General features: G+C 34.5%; 1 pseudogene across 1 annotated transcript in view; it reads left to right on the forward strand.

The window, feature by feature from the left end:
- Positions 1 to 14,294, forward strand: part of GUSBP16 (GUSB pseudogene 16) — a 153,001-nt pseudogene that overhangs the window by 31,952 nt on the left and 106,755 nt on the right. The window lies entirely within an intron of this gene.

Genomic DNA, 14,294 nt, shown 5'->3' on the forward strand with positions numbered 1-14,294 from the left:
GTTTATCACATTGCTTAAAGATTTAATTTAATTTCTGTAATTGTATATGTCATGAGAGATTGCTTTTAACCTTCCAATGTTCGTGGTCTCATTTTCACTAACATAATCCCAACTTTAGCTGCGCACAATACCACATTTCCCAGCATTCCTTGCATCTGGATATAGCTGTATTCAAATAAGCCGTGTGAAACTTCTGGGATGGCTCCTTAAGTGCAGTTGACTCATTAGGGAGGTATGTCTTTTTTATTTTTCTACACTTTGTGCTGCTGTCCTGGAGTACAGACATGGTGGCTAGAAGCATGAAATCACCTTGAAGGTAGAAGTCATGCATTGAAGTTAGTAAAAGTGAAATGTAAGTGTATAGTTTCCTGATGAAAATGGGAAGCTTATGTACTAGCAACAGAATGCTTATTATGCAGGCTTCCTATATGTAAAAGAGGACAAATTCTCATTTTATTAAGTTTCTGAAAGTAGATTTCTAAATGCTGGTTCTATTTTTTATTGAAAGTAATGGCAAAAAACGCAATGCCTTTTGTACCAACCTAATAGTTAATAAACATATCCTCAAATGAAATGTCTTAGAATTGTGTTCATCAAGTTAATATTAATAATTTATTAGAATAGCACTCTAAAGGGTTGCAGCCTATGCATGAAAATACTTACAAACTACTACATGATAATCAATTCTTTTTGGCAAGACTGCTATTTACATGGACACAAGAGTTATTATAAGAATGTTGTATGTATACATGAATAGTGTCTGTTAAACACTGGATATAATAAAAACAATAGTTTTTCTGTTAATTATAACAATCTGAACATTTTTGTGATTATATTTCACAAATGACACACCATTTTATTTGCAGATTTTTCTTATCCCCAAAGTTTTTGTTAATTTATTACCAACACAGCACACAAGTCTAGTGGCAATGCATTACCTCTGCAGTTGATTTTGAAGTAAGAAGGCCTATTTATTGCATTCATTCCTGCTTAGATGACATCTTAAATTTGTTAATTGGATTATTATGCTCTATTCTATACATTTATTGATTTATAGATTTTGTGGACACAAATTTCAAAACATATTCGAAAATTTGGTGATAGCTTTTTAGAATCTATTCTTCAACATAGTTATTGAAAGTGAACAAGAAGGACCTCCTCTAGAGATTAGGTTGAGAACCACTTCTTTGATTTGTTAAATATGTGTACATGGATACCATGTGGCTTTATTATGAGGAGCCACTTAAGTGGCTGAGTTACAATTCACAAAACATTGTCACAGGGAAAATATCAGGACAAATTTTCAAGTCGCATGCCAAGAAAAGAAACTTTCTGAATGCTTATAAGAAATACCTTAATTAATGGGAGCCCTTCAAAGTACACAAAACATCATAACTAGGAGTTGCAACACAACCAGCAATTTGCTGATTGAAATGCATTCATTCATACTGACTTCACCTGCTGAATGGAATATTGTGCTGTACTGTCCTTAGCTATGGAGAGAGAATTAAGGAATATCCCCTTCTGGTGTTCAACAACAACGAAAGAGCAAGAAAGATATATTCCTAATTTTTAAAGAAGAATGTAGAGATACTTAAACAAGACAATGAAGGTGGTAGAAAGATTATTACCATCCCCAAAGTGTTTGCTCATTAAAACATTTTGTGATTTTCTCTGCCAATATCATACCTGTATGGATAATTGTTTTCCTATCCACACAGTTATGAGAGTGAGAAGATGGAATATAAAAGATGGAACAAGAGGGAATCTGTGTGGTGACCACAGTAATCACAGGCTGGTTGGGATCCTAAACTCGGCCACAGCACAAAAGCATGTTCAAGTTTAAAGTCATGAGAGAGGCCTGGCATAGTGGCTCACACCTATAATCCCTGCACTTTGGGAGGCCAAGGTGGGAGGATTGCTTGGGGCAAAGAGCTCAAGATCAGCCTGGGCAACATAGTGAGATCCCATCTAAAAAAATGTTCTTTAAGTTAGCCTTATGTGGTGGCATGTTCCTGTGGTATCAGCTACTCAGGTGGCTGAAGTGGGAGGGTCACTTGAGCCTGGAGGTTGAGCCATAATCATGCCACTGCACTCCAGCCTTGGTGACAGATTAAGACTCTGTCTCCAAAAGTAAAACACCAAACAACACAAAAAGTAAAGTCACAATAAAATGAGATGCTATTAAGGTTGTTTTAGGTTGATTTTCAACTAGACCAGCATTTAGCCTGTACAAAGGCATATACAAAATAAACCCTAAACCTAAATGGGATTCAGCAGCAGCAGTGTGGGTTAAAGAAGCCACCAGTTCCCTGGAGGCCAGAACCACAGGCCTGTGGCCTTTTTTATTGTTTTGACAGGGAGGTGGAAAGCAGGAGTATAACTACATTCAAGTGTCTGCTCTGTTGCTGTAGGAGAAAATCCGTGCTGTAGCACATCAAAGTTTTTCCAAATTTTATTTCTTAGGACATCTTTGGGGTTTATGTAAGTATTAAATAGAGCTCCCCTAGCCCAGGCTTACACAGGACATATGTCTAGTGTCATAGGTCTGTATGCTTAAATTATAGCAGAAAGTTTGCTAAAATTTAAGTGAAGTAATGTTGAAGGTTGAATCATTTGAAACAAACTACCTGCACCAAAATATTCTTTAGTGTACTGATTTCTATCCCACCCCTAATGAGGCTGAATTTTAATCTTAACTCTGCTTGTAATTAGGTATTTATATGTGTCTGTTATTCATTTTTTAACAAGATGTCTCTTCAGAGATAAAATGAGGGTAGCAAAAAATAATTTTAATAGCCATTTATATGGCTTTGATAACAATTGTCTGTTCTACTTATCTGACTGATTCTAAACTCTAAAGGTTATTTTACAGTTAGTAAATTACATAATTTTTATGCAACAATTTGCCTGCCAGGATTCCTATAATACTTGTCAGCTATCAGTAGGTATAAGCCTGTTAGCCTCTAATGTGAAGATAATATCTCTTTAAGTTATAACGCATTTACAATTGTTACAGTTTCTAAGGTCTTTTTGAAGTTAGAGATGCATCTGAGGATGATGGTTTTCAAGGAGATAGCTCTTTGACAAAAAATGACAATATGGGACTTAGTGTTATATTAATTTACACATTATGTTTTTGCTATAAAGAGATAAAAGGTGTGCTATACTACCTATCAATTACTGTATGCCACATTTTGTAGAATTGTTTTCCATATTATTGTAGAATGTGGCACTTAAATAGTATCATGAAAAAAGTTTATTCAAGAAATAAGACATTAATGAAATATAATTAATATATAAAGACTATATTTAAAAATAATTATGTATTTCTAATCCTAAACTTTTTAAGGTGACATTATTTTTTTCTGTGATATAATTTCAGTTGAGAAGAACTTTAAATTTTAATAAGATTTTAAGATGATTCAGTAATGTTAACATACTTTTCTTCTGTAAATTTTGTTAACAATTTAGCTGCATTAATTAAATATTTATGTAGCTAATTTTAATAGTGATATTTTAATACAATTCTTAATTTTACTCCTGGCTTTCAATCATTCATATATGTTTTTAAAAATTGCTTTTTCCATTGCTTTACTTCTTAATTACTTTTATCAAAGTCTTAATTGTGTGTGGTTGATTTTAAAAGTTAAATATTTCTATAAGATTTATAAAGACAAACTGGGTACAGTGACTCACACCTGTAATCCCAGCACTTTGGGAGGCCGAGGGGGTAGATCACTTGAGGTCAGGAGTTCGAGACCAGCCTGGCCAACATGGTGAAAGCAGTTTCTACTAAAAATACAAAGATATGCCTGGTGTGGTGGTTGGCCCCTGTAATTCCAGCCACTTGGGAGGCTGAGGCAGGAGAATTGCTTGAACCTTGGAAGCGGAGGTTGCAGTGAGCTGAAACCATGCCATTGCACTCCAGCCTGGGCAGCAAGAGCGAAACTCCATCACACACACACACACACACACACAAAATATATATATATATATATATATATATATAAAATATATATATGTATGTATGTATATATACATGTATATGTGTGTGTGTATATATATATATACACACACTATATATATATATATATATATATATACACACACACAATAGAAATGTCCTGGCTATATCTATATTAATAGGTTTTGCACATTTAAACCAAAGTCACACATATGGTTTGATTCTAATTAATTCTAATGCATCTTGCAGGTTTCAAACTGTATTCTATTATGTAATTATCTGCTGATCCACTCTGTATCCTGTTGTGTAAGTTGCGATGATTAACCTCTGCCTTTACGATGTAATCCAAATGTAGCATATAGACCTCAATGATAAGATTGATCATGGTGCATTTAATCATTAATTTATTATTAATCTCTTTTATCCTGGTACTTAGAGTGCAGATTTTTCTCAACAACTATTTACGCAATCATTAAATGAAATACAGCCTTGTGTCACTTAGCAATGAGGATATGTTCTGAGAAGTGTGTGGCTAGGTGATTATCTTACTGTGCAAACTTCATAGAGTGATCAATCTATAATGGTGATAGCAATTTTTCAACCCTATTATAATCTTAATGAGCCATTGTTTTACATGCTGTCTCTTATTGATGTAAACGTTGTTATGTGGCACATGATTATATAAAAGATATTAATCCATTCATTATTTATGCATTCATCCATTTGACCTATGGTAGTGTTCTATTGAAAATGAGTCATCGTGATACAGAAATCCACTGTTAGTTGTTTTTACTTTCTCTTGTTCGTGGGGAAGAGTGGGTATTGATTTTAAAAGTCTAAAGAATGGGGTATTGTGAATAGTGCCGCAATAAACATACGTGTGCATGTGTCTTTATAGCAGCATGATTTATAATCCTTTGGGTATATACCCAGTAATGGGATGGCTGGGTCAAATGGTATTTCTAGTTCTAGATCCCTGAGGAATCGCCACACTGACTTCGACAATGGTTGAACTAGTTTACCGTCCCACCAACAGTATAAAAGTGTTCCTATTTCTCCACATCCTCTCCAGCACCTGTTGTTTCCTGGCTTTTTAATGATTGCCATTCTAACTGGTGTGAGATGGTATCTCATCGTGGTTTTGATTTGCATTTCTCTGATGGCCAGTGATGGTGAGCATTTTTTCATGTGTTTTTTGGCTGCATAAATGTCTTCTTTTGCGAAGTGTCTGTTCATGTCCTTCGCCCACTTTTTGATGGGGTTGTTTGTTTTTTTCTTGTAAATTTGTTTGAGTTCATTGTAGATTCTGGATATTAGCCCTTTGTCAGATGAGTAGGTTGCGAAAATTTTCTCCCATTCTGTAGGTTGCCTGTTCACTGTGATGGTAGTTTCTTTTGCTGTGCAGAAGCTCTTTAGTTTAATTAGATCCCATTTGTCAATTTTGGCTTTTGTTGCCATTGCTTTTGGTGTTTTAGACATGAAGTCCTTGCCCACGCCTGTGTCCTGAATGGTAATGCGTAGGTTTTCTTCTAGGGTTTTTATGGTTTTAGGTCTAACGTTTAAGTCTTTAATCCATCTTGAATTAATTTTTGTATAAGGTGTAAGGAAGGGATCCAGTTTCAGCTTTCTCCATATGGCTAGCCAGTTTTCCCAGCACCATTTATTAAATAGGGAATCCTTTCCCCATTGCTTATTTTTCTCAGGTTTGTCAAAGATGAGATAGTTGTAGATATGCGGCGTTATTTCTGAGGGCTCTGTTCTGTTCCATTGATCTATATCTCTGTTTTGGTACCAGTACCGTGCTGTTTTGGTTACTGTAGCCTTGTAGTATAGTTTGAAGTCAGGTAGCGTGATGCCTCCAGCTTTGTTCTTTTGGCTTAGGATTGACTTGGCAATGCGGGCTCTTTTTTGGTTCCATACGAACTTTAAAGTAGTTATTTCCAATTCTGTGAAGAAAGTCATTGGTAGCTTGATGGGGATGGCATTGGATCTATAAATTACCTTGGGCAGCAAAGACTTGGAACCAATCCAAATGTCCAACAGTGATAGACTGGATTAAGAAAATGTGGCACATATACACCATGCAATACTATGCAGCCATAAAAAATGATGAGTTCATGTCCTTTATAGGGACATGGATGAAATTGGAAATCATCATTCTCAGTAAACTATCGCAAGGACAAAAAACCAAACACCGGATGTTCTCACTCATAGGTGGGAATTGAACAATGAGAACACATGGACACAGGAAGGGGAACATCACACTCTGGGGACTGTTATGGGGTGGGGGGAGGGGGGAGGGATAGCACTCGGAGATATACCTAATGCTAGATGACGAGTTAGTGGGTGCAGCACACCAGCATGGCACATGTATACATATGTAACTAACCTGCACATTGTGCACATGTACCCTAAAACTTAAAAGTATATAAAAAAAAAAGGGGGGGGTATACACACAATCAGGTGTCAAGCAGTGGCACCTCGTGCAAAATAATAAACTCATCTAAGATCCTAGCAGTTCATTCTGAAAATAAAGCTGGAAATATATCTTGGATATGTAAAATGTGAGTGTAAAAATTAATGAAACTAAGCAATGGGAATATGAGTAGTAAATTATTTGAGAAAATATTATAACATTTACTTTTTTAAATTTCAAAACTATATTTCCTTATTTAAAACTGAAAATTTTTGTGTACATATAGGAAACTAATTGTGTCATTTTTCTTTTTGTTACAATATAGAGTGATGTTTCAAAACACAAACATAATAGGTAGAGTCAATTACTTAGGGGAGTCTAAACCTGGAGGTAACATTAGAAATAGAAATAATAAAATGCAGTGTTTTTGGATTTGTCTGTTAAGATTATTTTAATCCAGATCATATTTAATGGTTTACATAGTTGTATATCAAATTTGGTTTCAGAAATAAATTATACAGTAAATTTAAAAATGCAAAAAATGTATATTGTTATACATTCTGTAACCTATGAATCCATATAACTTGGGCAAGAAAATTATATAATTAAAAATAAAACCTTTCTGTTCTCAATTATGTTTTAGGGACAGCTATATAGTTCACACTCACAAAGGAATCATAAAAACTCTATGTATAATCTTGGAAGTAAAAATATCTGTTGTATCATATTTATGAAGTATACAATTGATTAAAAATGATAATGTCTGTCTTCTATCCAACGGCAATAACAGAAGATAATGGCATATAAGTAGGCCTGTCTCCTTTTTTTTGGCATTGATTTATATATCTTTACTAGCTTTGTTGTTTTAACTCCAATAAAAGATTATTTAGTAAGCCAAAGCAAAAAAAAAAAAAAAATCCTGTGAGCAGCCACAAACTGAAAGACTACGATTTTTAGTCAATGTCCTAAGCGACACAGTAATTTTAGGTTAACCAATGTGTCAAAGAGAATGAGGAAAAATTATTACAAAAATGAATAAATAAACTGGTCTAGGTCAAACCGTACTCCTTCTAAAGAGAGTAGTCAACTGATATTAAAGCCTGTGACGTAGTATGTGCCATATTGAGTATGCAATATCTAAATATTTCTTTTTTTTCTTTCTCCAGCTACTGCAAACCCTAATTGTTTCCTTATCCGATCACTTTAAAGTCATTCAGCAAATCATAATTATGCCATTGTTAACATCAGAAACTGAAAACCTACTGTCAAAAGTGAGCTAAAATATCATATTTGGATTTATTTATAAATTTATTTTATAAAAAGATTGACTTTCAATTTGAGAATAACATAAAAAATCAATTCATTCCTCTGTGCATCAATATTGTATCATTGGTAGTTTAAACTTTTCATCTAATATTAGATTGCATGCAGGATTTTATATCTAATTACTCTGGCAGATGGCCTTTAGAAAGTTCAAAAATAAAATGCAGCAATTCATATTGGCAGATTTACTATTGAGACCAATGCTTTCTTAACTAAAAGGTTTTGTTTAAAATCGTTAGTTTAGGAAATCTGATAAAGATTTTTGAATATCAGAGCGTTTAAAAGAGATTCTTACTTTACATCTGGCATATTTCTTGTGTTACATATTATAATTTCATTGAACATGGCTGTCTGTAAAACTATGTATATGATCCGGAAGAGACTCAAATTAAATTAAGTTTTAACAGCCATCAATTCATTTTAAAATGACACAGGCATGAAAAATGATCTATCAAGATTTGTAAATCTTATTCTGTTAGCTATTGCTAGAGATAGTCTAAAGGTATTCTACTTGGAATTTGAGATCAAGACAAAGATTTTCTGTTGGTAATAATATTCAGATTATTTTTATTTTAATGTATAAATTTAAAATTCTTAGAATATTTTCAACAATATTTTCCATTTCTAAATTTATTTTATTTCTAAACAAATGTAATTACTTTATTTATTAACTTTTATTTTCAGTTCAGGGGTATATGTGCAGGTTTGTTATATAGGTAAACCTATAGGTAAATAGGTATACAGATTATTTTGTCACCCAGGCATTAAGCCTATGCGCGTTAGTGAAAAATGTTATTGCTTTAAATATCCAAATTATTCAGCTGCATTTGAACTCATTCTTTAGTCCAATGTAAGTAAGAGTAAAACAATGACATTTAAGGCCACCAGGCTATTCTCATTTTTGGAAAAATGCTGGATTACATTACCAGCATATTAAATGAGAATATCAAGGTGTAATATCTCCCTAGAAATTGTCTCACCTTCAATACTATTGACATTTTTGGACCTGATAATTTTGTTGTGGGCTCTAGCCTCATGTTATAGGAGGTTTACCAGTTTTCCTGCCCTAAACTTACCGGATGTGAATAGCATCTTTGGAATCTTCAGAACCTCTTTAGAGTTTGGGATTTAAGAGTCAGTAGGTAGATAGTGAGCTTAAGATGCCAAACACAACATATAAAGCTATAAAAATCCATATGATCTTGAAAGATTAAATGGAAGCCCAGCACAAAACAATTGCTGAGTATATTATTTACATTATCTGAAAGTATGCCAGACAGACACTTTATATGTTAATAAAGATATGAGAAAGAAAATTCCAAAGAGTTTCTAAAAAGTGAACAACCACAAAATTTCAATAGCTTGCAACAGACATTTTCTTCTCACTCATGTTACCTGATGGAAAATCAAATGGCTGCCTGGAGACAGCATGGAGGGAGAGACTGATTACTGAGGTGCACAAGAAAACTTTTCATAATGATGGTTGTGAATGTAGTGATATTTCCAAAAGTATATACATATATATATATATCTATCTCAAATTTGACCACATCACACATTTCAAGTATACTGAATTGACTGTGCATCTCTTATTATACCCCAGGAAAGTTGAAGATATGACAATGAAAAAAAAATTCTTCCACCGACTACCCATCAATTTTCTTCTCATTAGCCTCACAGATTTCACAGTTAATTAAAGGGAAGATGCAAATATGTTCAAACTGTACATATTCTGAGGCCCATACCTTGCCATTAGCTCAATAAAGAGAGACATTGTCCCTGGCATGAAAATGAAAAACTTGCACACTCCCTAGGTGGCTTCTGGACACTCTTAAGACATGAACACACTTTGGGGGCTCACCCTGTCAGGCTTTGCTCTCTGAGCTTAGATGAGAAAAACACAAAAATAAAACCAAAAGGTGACATTTAGGTGCCCATCAAGAAAGATGTGTTGGGAACTGGACAGGTCAGGGCTTTAAGTACTGTATCTTACTGTATGTTTAAGTACTGTATGTTACTGTGGAAACTTACCCATTTTCCCCTCAGAACAACTCTGTCTCAGGAGGTGAGTCTGAGAGCTACTGTTTCTTTGTAAAGGTTTTATCTGATCAGGCCCACGGTCACCACGTCAGCCCCACTGCCCCTAAATAGTTTGAATCTTGATGTTTTGATTTCAAGGACTTCTGATTCTAGCTACATAGCTTTGTCCATTTCCCACCTTACCACTGTTTACTTTGAATTTTGTTGCATGCCGAGACCAGTGACTGCCACAAATGTGACTGTTCCTAGAATCTGCTTTCTGCTCTGATCTTTAGTCAGTGCGCAGACTCTAACATAAACTCCTTTCTATCGTATTTTCTTGAGTCCAAGAGCCCATAGATTGTATAATGCACTATTTTATGTCCCGTTAAGCAAGTAATTCGCATTGTGGCTAATTAAACTAAGACATACCACTGAATTGTAAAATGCATTATATTTTCAGGAGATATTAAAATATGAAATGTATAGGTCTTGGAATAGATGAATTGTGACAGTATCTTTGGAAAGCTAATTCAGTTGCAGTATTGCTTAAGATGTCTTTAAGAGCTGACTTCCTTTAGTTGGAATACATATGTAAATTATTTGCAGAGGAGATTTACCTCTTTTATCTCATTCATTTGTTTATTCAGTCATTTATTGATATCAATATGGACTAAGGAAAATTACATTTTTGGGTATAATCCAAATATAATACCAATTAATGTATTGTGTTGCTAAAATTATTCTAGAAATTGAAAGACCTTTCACTTGGCCCCTGTGCTTGTTTGACATATCTCACAAATAGATTTTTGTTAGTATTTTCATAATTTCTGGCACTAGAGGATGTCCCAGGCTCATCTTGTGTATTTTCTTCCCCATTCTTAGAATCAGCCACTTTCAAAGACGCCCTGCTTTCTATATATGAAATCAATATTTAAGTGCTAGCTGTGCCTGTAGCTAAGGGAATATCAATTTTTTCATAGCTCTCTAAGATGAGAGAGCAAAGAAACAATGTGTATATTCTTACACATATGTAGACACATATCTTTAAATATTTCTATATGTAAACATCTATATTAGTCCATTATCCCATTGTTATAAAGAACTACCTGATCCTAGGTAATTTATAAAGAAAAGAGCTTTAATTGCCTCACAGTTGCACAGGCTGTACAGGAAGCAAGGATGGGGAAGCCTCAGAAAACGTACAGTCATAGCAGAAGGCAAAGAGGAAGCAGGCACATCTTACATGGCTGGAGAAGGAGGAAGAGAACTAAGGGGGAGATGCTACACACTTTTAAACAACCAGATTGTGTGAGAACTAAGTCATTATCACAAGAACAGCAAGGAGGAAATCTGCCCCCATAATCCAATCCCCTCCCACTAGACCCCTCCTTCAACACTGGCGATTACAATTGGACGAGAGGTTTGAGAGGGGACAAAATGTAAACCATATCACCATCTATGTCTATATTAAGCTAAACATGGGTTCTTACTGATGTCACTACCTCTAACCTAGTCCCGCAAGCATCAATGCCTTCCTGTATCTCTAAACCCCCACTCCAACAATAAAAATCCTGACTCTTATTTTGTGACATCTATTTAGTTAATTGTTCACTTCCAGTATATGTATATAGCTGTACCAGAATTGATAACCTGCCCTTAGTAGAAGAACATCTTTATCAACTAAATTAAATGCCTTCGTACAAGTTTCTTTTGCCTTTCATCTTAAGAGACTGCACTCATTTTCAATATCACTTTGACTAGCACCCTTTCCCTTAAGTCCCTCACTGAAGTTATTTTGTATGGTTCATAATAGAGCTAGATAAATTTGTAACAGTCTGCATTCCATCCTGAGATTCTACAACCTTTTAATTAATTTTTAATTAAAAATATAACTTTTATTTTGGTAAATATTAGCACTTCTGTGCCACACTACTATATATAAATATCAAAAAAAGGTCCAGAAAGCTATAGAAAATTTAAGTAAAGTGCTGAATGTTGAACCTAACAATAACTGGGCTAAAGTAAGTACAGAAGGCAATTTTTTATTTACGTAAATTTGTGGGATACAAATATAATCTTATTACCTCCATAAAGTACGTAGTGTTGAAGTAAGGGTTTTAGAATATACATCACCTGAAAAATGTACATTGTACTCATTACATAATTTCTCATCATCCCCTCCTCCCACCCTCCTGAAATTTCCAAGTCTCTGTTGTCTATCATTCCACATTCTATGTCCATGTGTATACATTATTTAGCTTCCAGTTATAAGTGAGAACATGCAGTATTTGTCTTTCTGTGTCTGATTTGTTTCACTTAAAATAATGACCAGTTACATCCATGTTGTTACAAAAGACATGATTTTATTCTTTTGTATAGCTGAATAGTATTCTATAGCGCATATATGCCAGATTTATTAATGTAATCATCCACTGAGGGACACATTGCTATTGTGAATAGTGCTGTGATAAACATATGGGTGCAGATACCTTTTTCATACAATTATCTGTTCTCCTTTGGGTAGATCTCCAGTAGTGGGATTGTTGGGTGAAATTGCGGTTTTATTAAGAATGTATATTCTGTAGTTGCTGGGTAGTATTTTCTGTAAATGTCAGTTAGGTCTATTTCATCTAAGGTTGAATTTAAGTCTTAGGTTTATTTGTTTTCTGTCTTGATGATAACATTTAATGCTGTGAGTGAGATGGTAAAGTCCCCCAGTATTATCGTATTGCTGTCTATTCCTTTTTTATGTCTAGTAATATTTATTTGATGAATCTTGGTGGTCTAGTGTTGGATGCATATGTGTTTAGAATTGTTATATCCTCTTGCTGAATTGATCCCTTTATCATTATGTAATGACTTCCTTTGTCATTGTTATACTGTTTTAGATTTAAGTTCTGTTTTACTTGATATAAGTATAGCTATTCCTGCTTGCTTTTAGTCTCCGTTACATGGAGTATCTTTTTTCACCCATTTACTTTAAATCTGTATGTGTCTTTACTTTTCAGTCTGTATGTGTCTATATGTTTCTTGTAAGCATAATATTTTTGGATCATTTTTTAGTTCGTTCCATCAATCTACCTTTCTTTTTTTTTTTTTTTTTACTTTTAGATGGAGTTTCACTCTGTCATCCAGAGTGGAGTGCAGTGGCGCAATCTTGGCTCACTGCAAACTCCGTCTTGCAGGTTCAAGCGATTCTCCTGCTTCAGCCTCCCAAGTAGATGGGATTACAGGTGCCGGCCACCACGCCTGGCTAATTTTTGTATTTTTAATGGAGATAGGGTTTCACTATGTTGGCCAGCCTGGCCTCGAACTCCTGACCTCGTGATCCACCCACCTCGGCCTCCCAAAGTGCTGGGATTACAGGTGTGAGCAACTGCACCTGGCCCAATATCTATCAATCTATATATTTTAAGTGGAATGTTTAATTCATTTACATTCAAGGTTAATGTTAATACATGAGGTTTTCTTTCTGCCATATTGCTGTTTGTTTTCTACTTGTTTTATAAGTTCCTTGGGGTTATTTTGTTGTTGTTTTTTGTTTTTCTTTCTGTGTGTCTCTTTGTCTTTGTGGTTTGGTGGAAATCTGTTGTGTTGCTATTTGATTGCTCGTCCTACTTTGTGTGACTGTTTTACAAGACCTATGAGTTTGCTACTTTCATGTGTTTTGATGATGATGATGAATGTTGACCTTTCATTTTTGTGTTTGGGACACCTTTGAGTATTTCTCATAGGACTCGTTTGGTGGTGACGAATTCCCTCAGTGTGTGCTTGTCTGGAAAATACTTTGAATCATTTCAAGAAAATTAGCAGTGAGTTATGTCAATCAAGCCATTGGTTTGTATTTGGTGGCACATTTACTCTGTATTATTTCACACTAGAACCATCTGAGTTAAGTTTTATTATTTGCTATATGTTGCAGATGAAGAAACTGAAGCTGAGAGAGGTTTAGTGAATGACTGAAAAGGTTGTCAGGCTGCAGGGAAAAAAACAAAACAAAACTGTACGACTAGCCTGCAATGCTTCCCAAAGTATGTAGCTTATTATTATTGGTCACTTTTTGAGTACAAAATGCTGTGCTATGTAACAAAATAATACAATGTACATATGTATAAAAGTTAACATATACATATCAATTAACATAAGCATAACTGTAATCACATATACTGATAAATAAAAATATAAAGTAATATATGGTAATGACCCAACCATTTGCCTAAGTTTCATGTATTACAGAAGTTTTGAGGAGGGACTTCAGCTGTATGCAAATCAGCAATTCGGGTTGTACAGTTGATTACCCATTAGTTCAGAATTTTAATAATTTAAAATATATTTATTAAGAACCTAACAATTGGAAGACCTTACAATAGGTGGGAAAATTCGACAGATGAATAATGCTTAGGAGATATCAGCATGTTTTGGAAGGATATTCCCATGAAGAGAAAAAGTATTGTGGGAAGTGTGGGAAGTGTTATGGTGCGAGAGTAATATAGGTTCCAGCATGTGTTTACATTATTTTGTTGGAGGTGTTGGGGAACCTTTCATGGAAGGTGTGTGGTAGACTGT

This window comes from Homo sapiens, chromosome 5, assembly GCF_000001405.40.
Source record: "Homo sapiens chromosome 5, GRCh38.p14 Primary Assembly".
In the NCBI taxonomy this organism is placed as follows: Eukaryota; Metazoa; Chordata; class Mammalia; order Primates; family Hominidae; genus Homo; species Homo sapiens.